Source organism: Homo sapiens, chromosome 14 (assembly GCF_000001405.40).
Source record: "Homo sapiens chromosome 14, GRCh38.p14 Primary Assembly".
Lineage (NCBI taxonomy): Eukaryota > Metazoa > Chordata > Mammalia > Primates > Hominidae > Homo > Homo sapiens.
The window spans coordinates 72,063,370-72,077,488 of record NC_000014.9 but is presented as its reverse complement, the minus strand read 5'-3'; the positions used below and the strand labels follow the sequence as shown (position 1 = coordinate 72,077,488).

Sequence of the window (14,119 nt, the reverse complement as noted above, 5' to 3'; positions counted from 1 at the left end):
ATGCCATCAAAGCCAGAAATAATATAGAAAAGGACTGAAAGATATGATGACATAAAATTTAGCATTTATGAAGGAACGAAAAAAAACTAAACAAAGGTTAAAAGACTAATAGAAAACATGAGAGAATATTTGTACTATTACTGTAAAATAGGCAAAAATTAACATCCTTTTTATATAGAGAGCCATTACAAATCAGTAGGAAACCCCTCAATGGACAAGTTAGCAAAACTATTAAGATGGAATTCATACACATTAGTACAATAAAGATATGGAAAGGTGTTCAATTATACCAATAAATAATTACAAATCAATATAAGTTTTCATTTATCTTAAAATACATACAACTTTCATACAAAGTTTGAAAGGGTTATAAATAACCAGTGTTGGCAAGGCTCTGGAAAAAGGGAATTCTAATGCCCTGTTACAGGAATGTAAATTGGTACATTTACATCATTTCCTGTAGGATAATGTGACTATATATACAGCTTTATATAATTTGGCTATATATATATAACATTTATATATATATATATATAAAATTTGGCTGTATATGTATAATTTGGCTATTTATAGGTATATTTGGATATATGCATATAAAATAATTTGACTATAGATAGCCAAATTTTATAGACAGTATAGCCTAATTATGTATACATAGGCCAGGCCCAGTGGTTCACACCTATAATCCCAATACTTTGGGAGGCTGAGGTGGGAGGATTACTTGAGCCCAAGGAGTCTGAAACCAGCCTGGGCAACATAGTAAGACCATGTCTCTACAAAACGAGATTTTAAACTCAGCTGGCATGATGGCACGTGTCTATAGTCCCAGCTACTCAGGAGGTTTAGGTGGGAGGATTGCTTGAGCCCAGGAGGTAGAGGCTGCAGTGAACAATGATCATGCCACTGCATTTCAGTCTGGGTGACAGAGTGAAACGCTGTCTCAAAAAAAAGTGTGTATAGATATGTATATGAATGTTAAATGTACATATATTTTTAGCCAGTAATCTTCCTTCTAGAGATAAATCCCGAACAAAAGGATATTCACTGGAGTGTTCATTAGATTTTGAAAAACAGAAAAGAAATACCAAACAGTTGATTAAATAAGGGACATCCATGTAATGCAATGCTATCTATTAAAAACTATACTGAATAGGAGAAATGAAAATAATTGAGATTCAGAAATGGAAAAATAAAACTTGTAAGGTCAGTAAGAGTGAAAAAGCCAAGAACAGAAAAGGAACAGCTATAGAATATTTTCTCCTCTTTCAATCATGGCGGAGTGAAGAACAGGCTAAGGTGCCTGTGGAGGGCGCACGCTGCTCTGGATGGCCCATCCTCCCTCTAGTAATGGCATGACAAAAAGAAGGAGCAAAATGTAAACGCTGTAAAGATAGTTAAAAGTCAAGTCACATGTGGTCTCCCAGGACTGCTTAGAGAGAATGTCTAGGTAGGAGTTTGGGAGGGTTTTATTGTCTGGAAAACAAAAGGTTTCAGAATTGGAAGGAAGAATTTGAGGAATGTATCAAGGCTAGCCAGAGCCTTGTGTCAGAAGAGCTCCAGGATATCACCAGCATCTTGCTCTTCCCACGGACTTTGGTCAGACGAATAGAGACAACTGATGAGGTTTTAGCATATTTGCAGCAGCCTGCCATTTCCAACACTGACACTGCCGTCCGGAGGTCACGTAAGGTACCAGGACAGAAAGAGGGAGGCATTCATCCTGGACCTCCAGAGGCTGGGGTGGGACTTGAACAACTGCAGCTTTGTATGAATATAGAGAGAGAACATCTGCAAGGAAAAATGTCAGCCTATGAACACAGAAAAAAACTGTACAAGTAAATAACAAGATGTTAACAAGAGTGATTACTTCTAGGTGGTGGCATCACAGGTCATTTTCTCTGGTCCTTTACTGCCTCTCTTTTATAGTGAACATGTCATATATTTATAATAAAAAGTATCCCATTCTATTTTGTGGGAAAGAAAAGACAGACTAGATTATGGGAAAGACAAAATATAAAAGAGCTTGATTTAGGTACCATCTTCATCTTAAGTCTAGTCACAGTTCAGGCATGATAAATACATACACACCATAAAATTGTCAAATGCAAGGCTGTATCGTATTTACTTATCTTGTTGGGTATACCAATAATGAATAAATAAATGAATATAGGAAATAAGGAAACCGAGTCTTCACAATGGAAACAAAGTAATTAAATTACATTTCATAAATGCCGAGTAGCATAGTGTCACAAGTCCTGGTTTACTTTTAAACACCATGGGAAAATGGGCGAGTTTTCTAATGATAATATGCCTAATTGGAGAAATCAGACTGAGAAAAATAATCAGAAACTATATCTGTGCATGCCCTTCAACACAACAAAAAAGGCAAAGCCACATCCAGTATGGAGGCAAAGGCTTAGAGAACATGGCAGATTTCTCAAGAAAATCCTGAACAAAACATTATTTGCATTACAAAAAGATCCTTCACTTTACTAAAATATTTCTTTTTAAAGGCAGTTCATTTAAAAGTATGTTTCCACATCAGTAAGAATGGAAGCTAAATAAAGGGCCTGGAGTCAGGGATATTGACAGCTGAAGACAAAACAGAACTGAGAATAAAGTTTCTCTGAAATGATCAAATAGTTTAAAGAAAAAACAGAATATGATCTCCAAATGCAACCTCTGTTGATGACTGTCTTACTTGCCCACTTGAGAGATAAATAAAAATGTAAAAGCAATGCACAAAAACATTTACACCCTCTTGCATATGAGATAGGATAGAAACAAGTGGGGGGATGCTGGATAACTGAAAAAATAGCATTGAGCATGTAGATGCTCGGAAAAACAGGCTCTACACTGGTACAACCTCAAAAGGTTATACAACTTAGGTTAATAGAGATTTCCTCTGAAAATCTGACTATTTTCAACAATAATGGTATGTGTGAAATTATTATAAAGGTGCTAGTTTCCAGTTTAAAGAAATGCTCAATTGGCCAGGCATGGTGGCTCATGTCTGTAATCCCAACATTTTGGGAGGTCAAGGCAAGAGAATTGCTTGAGGCCAGGAGTTCAAGACCAGCCTGAGCAACAGAGCTAGACCCTGTCTCTACCCACCCCTACAAAAAATCAGCTAGGTATGGTGGCAAGCACCTATAGTCCCAGCTACTCAGGAAGCTGAGGCAGGAGATCCCTTGAGTCTAGAAGTTTGAGGCTGCAGTGCGCTATGATCACACCACTGCATTCCAGTCTGAGCGGCAGAGCGAGACCCTGCCTCATAGAAAAATAAATAAGAAATGCTGACTCTTGTACTACCATTTTTTCTGTCTGTTATGGTAGGAAGCACTTTCTCCAGTCTACCTGCAAGCTGTCAGTCATTCCTCTGCAAATATCTTGATTTAATTTCTGCAGTCTTTTGGAAACAAACACCTTAAATGATTCCAACAGATATCTGCTAAGTTGACAGGGTGATTAGAAATAACTTTTAAATAAAACCATGGAGAAAAAAATTAAACAAAGCCAAGAAAACACCAAAGTGGGCTTAGTACTAGGCAAAATTTGATTTAATTTAAAATCTTAGCCCCCAAGATACTTTTGAGAGAATATCCAATAATAGTAATAATTTTTTCTTAGTCTACTTAAAATAGCTCACAGTAAAGGACTATTTTGTGCCAGTCACTATTCCAAGCATTTTATTAATATGTATATATTATACAGCAGGTCCTACAGTAACATTGTTTCATTATAAAATTTGTGAGAAAAAAAAATTTATTCCAGCCAAGGCCATTGTCTGTGTGGAGGTTGCATGTTCTCACCACATCTGCATGGATTTTCTTCACATTCTCCACTTCCCAAAGCTGTGCCCATTAGGTGAACTGGCATGTCTAAGTGGTCCCAGTGTGAGTGTGGATGAGCGTGAGTGTGCCCTGTGATGGGATGGTGTCCTGTCCTTGGCTGGTCCCACCTTGCACCCTGAGCTGCCAGGACAGGCTCGGACCACCCACTATTCTGGAGTCGAATAATTGAGTAAATGATTGAATTAATCTTTCTTAAATGTATGTATAACCTAGATTTCTCTCAGTGTTTAATATTAGAAATGTTTTGGTCTTTATGTAGAAGTCTGATAATACTTTTAGGACCAAAAATATGCTGCAGGAACTTAACTCTCATTTATGTCAATTAATCTATGGTAATACCGGTTTTGTTATACATCGTTTCACTTAAAAGTTGCAGTTTCCAATAACCTATAGACAACGTTAAATAAGGACTTACTGTACCCCTTTAATCCTCATAACAATGCTCTGAGATGCAGACAGTATTTTTATCATTCATCCCCATTTTACAGATGAAGACATAAAGAAACGTTAACAAAACTTAACTAAGGCCACACATCTAGTGAGTGGCAGAAGGAGGATTTGAACCCCACCAATCTGAATGTGGCACGCACATAATCAATGACTATCGAGTAATCTTCAAGCTTGGCTACACATTAGATCACCTGGAGAAATTTTAAAACTCCTGGTGCCCCAGACGAGATAAATCAGAGCTTATGGGAGTGATCCCCAGGCAGCAGTATTTTTTAAAGCTCCTCAGGTTGTCCAATGTGCAGCCACATTGGAGAACGACAGCACGATACCTATTGCTCTAATAATTACAAGACTACCTTTGACTTTAATGTGATGCTGCTTAATATATTTTGACATAAAAATTAGCATTGATTTAAAATTAACTTAATCCGTAAGACATATATTAAGTTGCTTAATTAAGTGAAGGACCAGTGATTACCTAAAAGGCCTGTGAACTAATAAGTAAACCACTGCCTCCTCAGACCAGAGCTTCTGCTTCCCCTAAGTGCTCTCTGCCTCCTAATATAAAACACAAACAGCCAAGAACAGTGGCTCACACCTGTAATCCCAGCACTTTGGGAGGCCGGGGCAGGTGGATCACCTGAGGTCAGGAGATCGACACCATCCTGGCTAACACGGTGATACCCCGTCTGTACTAAAAATACAAAAAATTAGCCGGGCATGGTGGCACACACCTGTAGTCCCAGCACTCAGAAGGCTGAGGCAGGAGAATTGCTTGAACCCAAGAGGCAGAGGTTGCAGTGAGCCGAGATTGCGCCACCGCACTCCAGCCTGGCGACAGAGCGAGACTCCATCTCAAAAAAAAAAAAAACAAACAAACTACACACACACAAACAAGCTTCCTAGACCTACATCCACTTCCCAAAATAAAATGAGGGTTTTAGATTAGAGAAGGAGAAGGTCCATTGAGAATAAGATTGTGGGACCTTGATCAAGACCCTTAACCTCTCCATGCTTTAGTTCACTCCTCCATGAAAGGGGCTTAACAACAGCACCTGCCCGAAGCATGGTGGAGAGAACTAAATGGGACAATGCTTGCCATGTGCTTAGCACTGGGCCTGAAACACAGGAAGCTGCAAGAGAAATTTCTGCTTTTTAAATTTGTACTAAGGTTAAAAAAATTTACAAGTATTACACCTGATTGTTACAGAGAAGGAACTTAAATATGGCACTGAGAACAATAAATCTGCAATTCCTGTAAGTCAGAACAATGCAAAAGCAGTTGATGTGGCCTATAACACAGAGATTGCTATGAAACATGAAAGATAATACAAGACATCGTGAAAACATTTAATTCTATATGTTCTGTTCATATTTCTGCAAATAATTATGATTATTTTCAAATGTAGCAATATGAAGAATGTAATATATATGTTGCCATGGCTAATTTCTATTCTGAGTCTACTAGAGTATTGCATAAGTACCTAAATGACCAGACAAACATGTATGACTACGAATATGCACATAGATATGTTAATTTTAAAAAACAAGTTATAACAACTAAACTAAGAAGTATTAAGTCCACCCACCTAATAGGCAAGAATTAAGAAACCTGACAATACTAAGAATTGGTAAGGACATGGAGCCACAGAAACTCTTGTGTACCGCTAATGGAAGCATAATTTGTTACAACTACTTTGGAAAGCCATTTGTAATTACCTAGTAAGGTACAACACATGCTTACTCAATGAATCATCAATTCTACCCCCAGGAATATATTCTAGAGAAAATCCTGGACAATGCACCAGAAGACATGTACGAGAGTGTTCTTAGCAGCAAAACTGGAAAACTCCAATAGCAAAAATTGGAAAGAATCCAAAAGTCCATCAACAGTGGAATCTGAATAGTTAAATTGTGTTGAATAGCTAAAGAAATTCATATATTGGTATAAAGTAAATATGAACGAACCATACTCCATATAGAAATGTTGCGGGAAACCAAATTGCAAAAGATTACATAAGTTATTCAATTCACATAATGTTTAAAAATAAGGAAGCACTAAAGAATACATTGTTTATTGATACATACATAGGTGGTAGAACTAAAAAAAAATCAAAGGCGACTACATCCAGCTGGTCCAATATATCTGGTAATTTACCCTGACCTACATTTTTGCTGAAAACCATGAGAGGAGATGAATAAAATATTTTAAATGTTTTATTTAAATGCATCAATGAGTTGTAACAAGGGAGTAATTAACACTCAACGGTGAAATACACACGCACAAAACATACATATGTATACATAACATATATTCATACACATGCATACATACATACAATCCCTGCGAAGTAAGTTAAGCACTGAAGCTGGCTTTTGCCTTGGGCCACTTGTTTAACTCCAGAGTACTTGAGCCTAGGTTTAAGGCCTACCAGACAGAACCATAAGGAACAGGAAGCTTGCTGAAATCCATCCAGTGCTCCCTTTAACAAGCTGAGTGCCTGCATCAATTTAGAGTGGAGCCACATGGGCTAGCAGAAGCCCTGCCCACAGGATTCAGGGTTCAGAGTTCAGGGTGAAACAAAGCCCAGGGCCTGCCAAAGATAGGATGGCTAAAAGGATCTCATCTCCAGCAGCACCACCACCAACACCAGGAACAGTAAGTCAAGCTACATTCCTGGAGTGCAAGGAAACTTGCCTGTCTCAAATCTTGGCCATGGATGGAAGAAGAAAAAAATCAAACCTGAGAATTTACTATAATAAGTGAAAACTCATATGAGTTTGCAGTGCGAGTTCATACAGCTCTTAGAGTCCCAAAACCCTGAAGCCAAAAATTTAATGTGAAGAGTCACAGTTGGTAATAACCCAGGCACATAGCAGAAGCAACCTTAAATACTTTCTAGGAGAATCCTTCTGTAACTCAGACCTGGAAGAATCCTCATAACAAAGCTGTAAGAAAAATGAACAGCTCACAGTGGAAAATTAATCAACTAATTAGCAAATTCTCTCCCTTACACACACACACAGAGAGAGACAGAGAGAGAGAGAGAGAAATAAAGCACAATGAATGACAGCCAGCAAATCAGATACACTAACAAAAAACAAAATGTATAGTTTAGTAACAGTTTAGAATAAGGGCAAAATAAAGACATTTTTAGACAAAATCCAAGACAGTTTGCCATGAAGAGACTCTCAGTTAAGGAAGGTCTAAAGAATCCAAGTTGAAGAAGGTGATTCCAAGTAGAAGGTCTAAAATGCAAAAATACGTAGTAAGCAACTAATGTGGCAAATATGTGAATAAATGTAGATAAACACCACTATTAAACAACCAAATCATATGTGATTGGCTGGGCGCAGTGGCCCACACCTGTAATCCCAGCACTTTGGGAGGCCAAGGCGGGCAGATTGCTGGAGCCCAGGAGTTCAAGACCAGCCTGGCCAACATGGTGAAACCCCGTCTCTACTAAAAATACAAAAATTAGCTGGGCATGGTGGTGTGTGCCTGTAGTCCCAGTTACTCTGGAGGCTGAGGTAGGAGGATCATCTGAGCCCAGGGAGGTCGAGGCTGCAATCATTGTGACTGCACCACTGCACTCCAGCCTGGCTTATGGAATGTGACCCTGTCTTGAAAAAAATAAGTTTTAAAAAATCATCTATGATTAATAATTTTTAAAAATAGAATAAACACACAACAAGAATAGTATACAGCACAAGAGAGGAAAACGGGAGTTAAAACATTCTGAGCTATTGTTTAGGAGGAAGAAAAGATACTGACTGAATTTAGACTTTTATAAATAAAGTATGCATGCTACAATTTCTAGGATTACTGCTAAAAGAGAGAAATAGGGTATATAACAAACTAGCAGAGGAAGGAATAGGATGAGAAAAAAAATATCAACCTAAAAGAAAAAGAGCCAGGTGCAGTGGCTCACGCCTGTAATCCTAGCACTTTGGGAGGCTGAGGCAGGTGGATCATTTGATATTAGGAGTTCAAGACCAGCCTGGCCAACGTGGTGAAACCCCATCTCTACTAAAAATACAAAATATTAGCCAGGCGTGGTGGCATGCACCTGTAATCCCAGCTACTCGGAGGCTTAGGTGGGAGAATCACTTGAAGCCAGGAGGCCAGAGGTTGCAGTGAGCCAAGATTGCGCCACTGCACTCCAGCCTGAGTGACAGACCAAGACTCCATCTCAAAAAAATAAATAAAACAAGAGAAAGAAACAAAAGTAGAATAAACAGAAAGTATAAAAGAGAAGAAATCCAAATATATCAAGAATATAATAAATGTAAATAAATAGACTAAATGATCCATTTAAAGTCAAGTATTATGAGACTTATTTTTAAAAAGAAAGAAAAAGAAAAGGAAGGAGGAGAGAAAGGAAGAGTGGGCCGGGCGCAGTGGCTCACACCTGTAATCCCAGCACTTTGGGAGGCCAAGGCACATATATCAACAGGTGGGGAGTTCAAGACCAGCCTAGCCAAGATGGTGAAATCCCATCTCTGGTAAAAATGCAAAAATTAGCCGGGTGTGGTGGCAGGCGCCTGTAATCCCAGCTACTCAGGAGGCTGAGGCAGAGAATTGCTTGAACCTGGGACGCAGAGGTTACAGCTAGCCAAGATTGCGCCACTGCACTCCAGCCTGGGCGACAAAGCGAGACTCTGTCTCAAAAAAAAAAAAAAAAATAGGAAGAGTGGGAGGGAGAGACGGAGGAAATATTGAATAAAAAATTAAAAAGAACTGATATTCGGCCAGATGCAGTGGCTCACGCCTGTAATCTCAGCACTTTGGGGGGCTGAGGTGGACAGATGGCCTGAGCTCACAAGTTCAAGACCAGCCTGGCCAACATGGCAAAACCCCCTCTCTGCAAAAAATACAAAAATTAGCTAGGTGTGGTGGTGCATGCCTGTAGTCCCAGCTACTCTGGAGGCTGAGGTGGGAGGATGGCTTGAACCCCACAAGGCAGAGGTTGCAGTGAGTCAAGATTGTACCACTGCACTCCAGCCTGGGTGATACCGTCAGATCTTGTCTCAAAAAAAAAAAAAATACATACATACATAATTAAATAAATGATATTAGTGTAATCTGGGCTCACTTTCCCAGGATTTAAACAACTAAAGTATCCCCCCATCAGCATTTCCCTTTAAGACTTGGAATCTAAATTAAAGCCAATATAATACTACAGCAATGCTTCTTGATCTTTAACGCACACATGAATCACCTGGGGATTCTATTAAAATGCAGATTGTGATTCAGCAGCTTCGTGGTAGCACCTGTGATTCTGCATGTCTAGCCAGCTCCCAAGGGATGTGGATGGTGCTGGCCTCTAGACCATCCTCACGGTGGCAAAATATTACAGCGTTGGTAAACACAGATTTAATGTGTTTAGAAGACTAATAAGGGAAATATAATCTAAAGAAAAGCAAGGCCAGACCTACAAGCTAGCTGTACGCGCAAACTTCAAAAGTTTTGAAAATAAACTTTATTTTATTTTATTTTTTTAAGTTTTTAAAGTTTGTTATCAAGACTTAATAGGAGGCAAAACCTTACCTGAACTGATGTGAAGTTATTCATAGTCTTTATCTCAGTGTGAATATTCAGTTTCACTACAGAAATATTAGTGTGTGTGATTAAAAAGTGCCGCACTAAACCCTGCTAAATCCAAATGTATTATTTTTCTAAACTCCAAAAAATCTTTTTTTAAATTTTACTTTAAGTTCTGGGATACATGTGCAGAACGTGCAGGTTTGTTACATAGGTATACATGTGCCAGGGCGTTTTGCTGCACCCATCAACCTATTATCTAGGTTTTAAGCCCCGCATGCATTAGGTATATTTCCTAATGCTCTCTCTCCCCTTGTCCTCCACCTCCCCGACAGGCCTTGGTGTGTGATGTTCCCCTCCCTGCATCCACGTGTTCTCATTGTTCGACTCCCACTTATGAATGAGAACATGCAGTGTTTGGTTTTCTGTTCCTGTGTTAGTTTGCTGGGAATGACGCATTACTGGCTATGTACCCCAAGGATTATAAATCATGCTGCTATAAAGACACATGCACACGTATGTTTATTGCAGCACTATTTACAATAGCAAAGACTTGGAACCAACCCAAATGCCCATGAATGATAGACTGGATAAAGAAAATGTGGCACATATACACCATGGAAAACTATGCAGCCATAAAAAAGAATGAGTTCATGTCCTTTGCAGGGACATGGATGAAGCTGGAAACCATCATTCTCAGCACAAAAATCTTAAATTCCAAAATACATCTGTCCCAGAGGTTTTGGATAAGGGACTTTGGAGCCACAGTGCATTTCTTTCATTCTTTGACTAATCAGACCTTTTGTGATCTTTACAAAAAAAAAAAAAAAATTGCCTCTAAAGTATAAGAACACCGGGAGAAGAAAAAATATATAATTATTCAGTAGTGTAATAATTATTCAGTATCGGAAACTGTATTTTTTTTCCTGTAAATTAAGTACTTAAATGAAATCCCAAGTCACTACTCCCTTGGGGTCTTATTTTTGTTATCTCAAGACAAAATAACACTGACCTAATTTCAGCTTTTAAGTGGACAGCCACAAACACCTTCCAGGCAGAGCTATTCCTTGGAGATGCCACTCTTTGAAAAGAGAAAGATGCCACATTAGCTTAAAAGCACCAAAAAAAAAAAAAAAAAACCCTTCTGACAAGATTAAATAAAATATATCTTTATATATAACATGTAAATTCCAGTTACAATTCTATTATCTTGTGTATTTAAAGAAAACACAATTTCAGTGAAACTAAAATTGCTAGTTGCTGGGCTTGAAGCAGTAACATACAGAGGTATATATAGACGTAAAAACCTTTAGAAAAAGCTTTAGCCCCTACAGAGTTTTTCCAAACTGTTACCTACCTTTGATTCCCAAAGCATGAAACCTGGAGAGATAGCAAAATCTCCAGTGACCCGTTCCCTCCCCACAGTCAAACCACAAAAGTACTTCTAAGGCAGTAATAAAGTGGTCACATCAGGCATTGCTACAATTGCTACTTCTGAAATCGAGGCATATTTTATAGAAGATATTTAAGTTTCACCTCCACAGAAAGAAGATATCTTCCCAAACATTTGCAGTACACACTGATCTCAGACCATAAGCAGATAGTTAACATCAATCAACAGGCAGAGACATGGCTTAATAATGAGGGCCACTTCATAAAAAATGATGCACATGAAGGGGAACATCACACTCTGGGGACTGTTGTGGGCTGGGGGGAGGGGGGGAGGGATAGCATCGGGAGATATACCTAATGCTAGATGATGAGTTAGTGGGTGCAGCACACCAGCATGGCACATGTATACATATGTAACTAACCTGCACATTGTGCACATGTACCCTAAAACTTAAAGTATAATAAAAAAATAAAATAAAATAAAATAAAATAATGAGGGCCACTTTCAAAAGCCAATTCATGTACAAATGACTTCCACTCTTTACTCCTCTGAAAACCCTCTGGGTTAAGGAGAAGCTTTGTTAAAGATCTGAAAATAAAGAAACATCTTTTATTAACCCCAATGACGTTTGAGGATCTGTTATTGTTGTTTTAAGGACAAGAAGAATATGGCAATAGAAAAAGATCATTGTAAAGGGAAGACATTTTATTGGGTAGTCAAGCATGGGTAAATTATAATAAACAATGAGTGAACCTGATCCTAATTCTGCCATATTAAACCAATAGTCATATTAAGACTTAAGGGATTGTGCATCATATACCCCAAAACATAAATCAATGTAGAAATCTATCTAAAATTATTTCAAGAAATAGCTGTTGCCTATAGTTTTGGGATAAAGCCTCTGGCAGATCCACAAACTTTGGCCTGTAAACCACTTGACAAAAACCAATAATGCAGGAAAAAATGCAATTTGTAACCCTGTTCCCCACTGTCCCCTGCTAAACTGAACAAAATAAAATAGGAAAATGAGAAACCAAAATGAAGCCAATGCTAGATGCTGAGATAACATTTTCAAAGTCTGCCAGTTGTATATTTAATAAAAGTGGCAATTATATTTGAGTTTCAATTCAGATGGCTCTGCTTCTAGACAATATATGTTAATCATTGGTAAAATTTCCCCTAAAAACACAATGTATGTGAAAACACCGCGGATTTTAAATAAATATGAAATGAATCTGACTATTATAATAGTTCTGGCCAGTAACCTCCAAGATACTACAAAATATAATGACAAGATTCATTTGTGACATTATATTTACATGGGTAAACACATTTTACCGTTGCCACATGATACCATTGCCACACTTCACCATTTTTATGTTTTCAAAGTTGTTTTTTTAATCACTGATGCTTCTCAAGATAAGTACACATGATAAACAGTAGAGAGATTTCTTTGTGTGTTATTATTTAGCAACCAAATAGATGACATCTATCCAACGATCTCTCAAAAGCTTCTTTTGTTGTACCTACTAAGACTTTATCTTCCAGTTTTATCTCCTCATTCAAGGCTTGGTGGCCCAACTGAAATGACAGCGCTGCAATCCTAGCCTGCTCGTTAAACTGCAACAAAGCAGTGAGATTCAGTGGAATCTAACAATCACTAAGTATTCACTTCTCACACGTCTCCTTTTGTGGGTGAAGACACAGAAATAGTTGACTAATTTTAATGACTTACCCAAGAATATCAGTGTGAATACCCTGGTACAAAATGAGTTGAACTCATGCTTGAAAAATACATTTTTCCCCAACCATGCAGCAAAAGTAAGTAATTTTTAAATGTCTCTTTTGAGATTAAGCTTGAGGAAAGCTGCCAACTTTTTATTTCAAAGGAATTTCCAGCTCATTCCCTCTCATGCCTGTCAACAATTTGGCATCAGTGCCCTCTGGATCCATTGACTTGACCTCCTCTCCATGGTCCGTTCCCCACTTTATGTCTTCACCCTCCTCCTTCACCTCCTTCAGCCTGGTCTAGGGCACCACCCAAAAATCACTCCCTCCTCCTTCACCTCTTCCAGCCTGGCCTTTGGCACTCCCAAAAATTGCTCCCTTGCAAGTGCCCTACTGCACGGCTGCCCATCTCCACTTCCACATTATTCAGATTGCAAAACTATGACCATGATTACCTACGAGAGAATCCTTAGACTCTCTCCCTACACCACAGCAAATGACACAATCTAGAGAAAAACAAAGAACTACACTGGCTGATTTTGCTTTAAAGATATGATAGTAATCTCAATGTGCTTTCAGTTCTGCTCAGCAATCTTATTACACTTTCTTGGCCAACTTACACTCCTACTCCTAGAAATGACCCCTTACTCACACCCATCTGATGATCTTGATTCTATTTCTTAGAAAACAAAGGCAAGCAGAAGATAATAACAGTATCTTCCCATAAGTGTGTGCATTCACCTATATGTCTCCGTACAAATCTAGAACATGCAATGCCTTAACTCCAGCTAATGCAGCAGCCAACCCACCACTTACACTAGGTCCCATCCCCTCTTGCCTACTTAAGGAGATGCTTCTGTCAATTTCTTTATCTCTACTAAATAATGATCAGCTTTCAAGTGTAATATAACCCCCATCTTTAAAAAATTAAATTTTTCTGACTTCACATCCTAAATAGCTATCCTCCCTTACCTCTCACCCCACAGCAAAAATCTCTCAAGAAACGTATATCCTATCTTTATTTCCTCATCTCTTATTCTCACTTGAACCAGCTTCAATCAAGCTTGTGCCCCCACCCAATCAATGACATGATATTGTCAATGTCACCATGATCTCCATGCTGCTATATCCTGTGTTCCAGTCTCAGCC

The 14,119-nt window shown here is 38.5% G+C and overlaps 1 protein-coding gene across 51 annotated transcripts in view, besides 1 other annotated feature; it reads right to left on the bottom strand.

Moving 5' to 3' along the window:
* The window catches only part of RGS6 (regulator of G protein signaling 6), a 762,695-nt gene that overhangs the window by 552,541 nt on the left and 196,035 nt on the right, over window positions 1-14,119 (bottom strand). The gene's annotated exons all lie outside the window — the stretch shown is intronic.
* Window positions 1,121-1,661: an enhancer, noted in NCBI's record as "OCT4-NANOG hESC enhancer chr14:72542545-72543085 (GRCh37/hg19 assembly coordinates)". NCBI's record gives its function as "activates a minimal SCP1, AML or CMV promoter by ChIP-STARR-seq in naive H9 embryonic stem cells {active_cell/tissue: H9 hESC(naive)}" and the evidence as "EXISTENCE:reporter gene assay evidence [ECO:0000049][PMID:30033119]".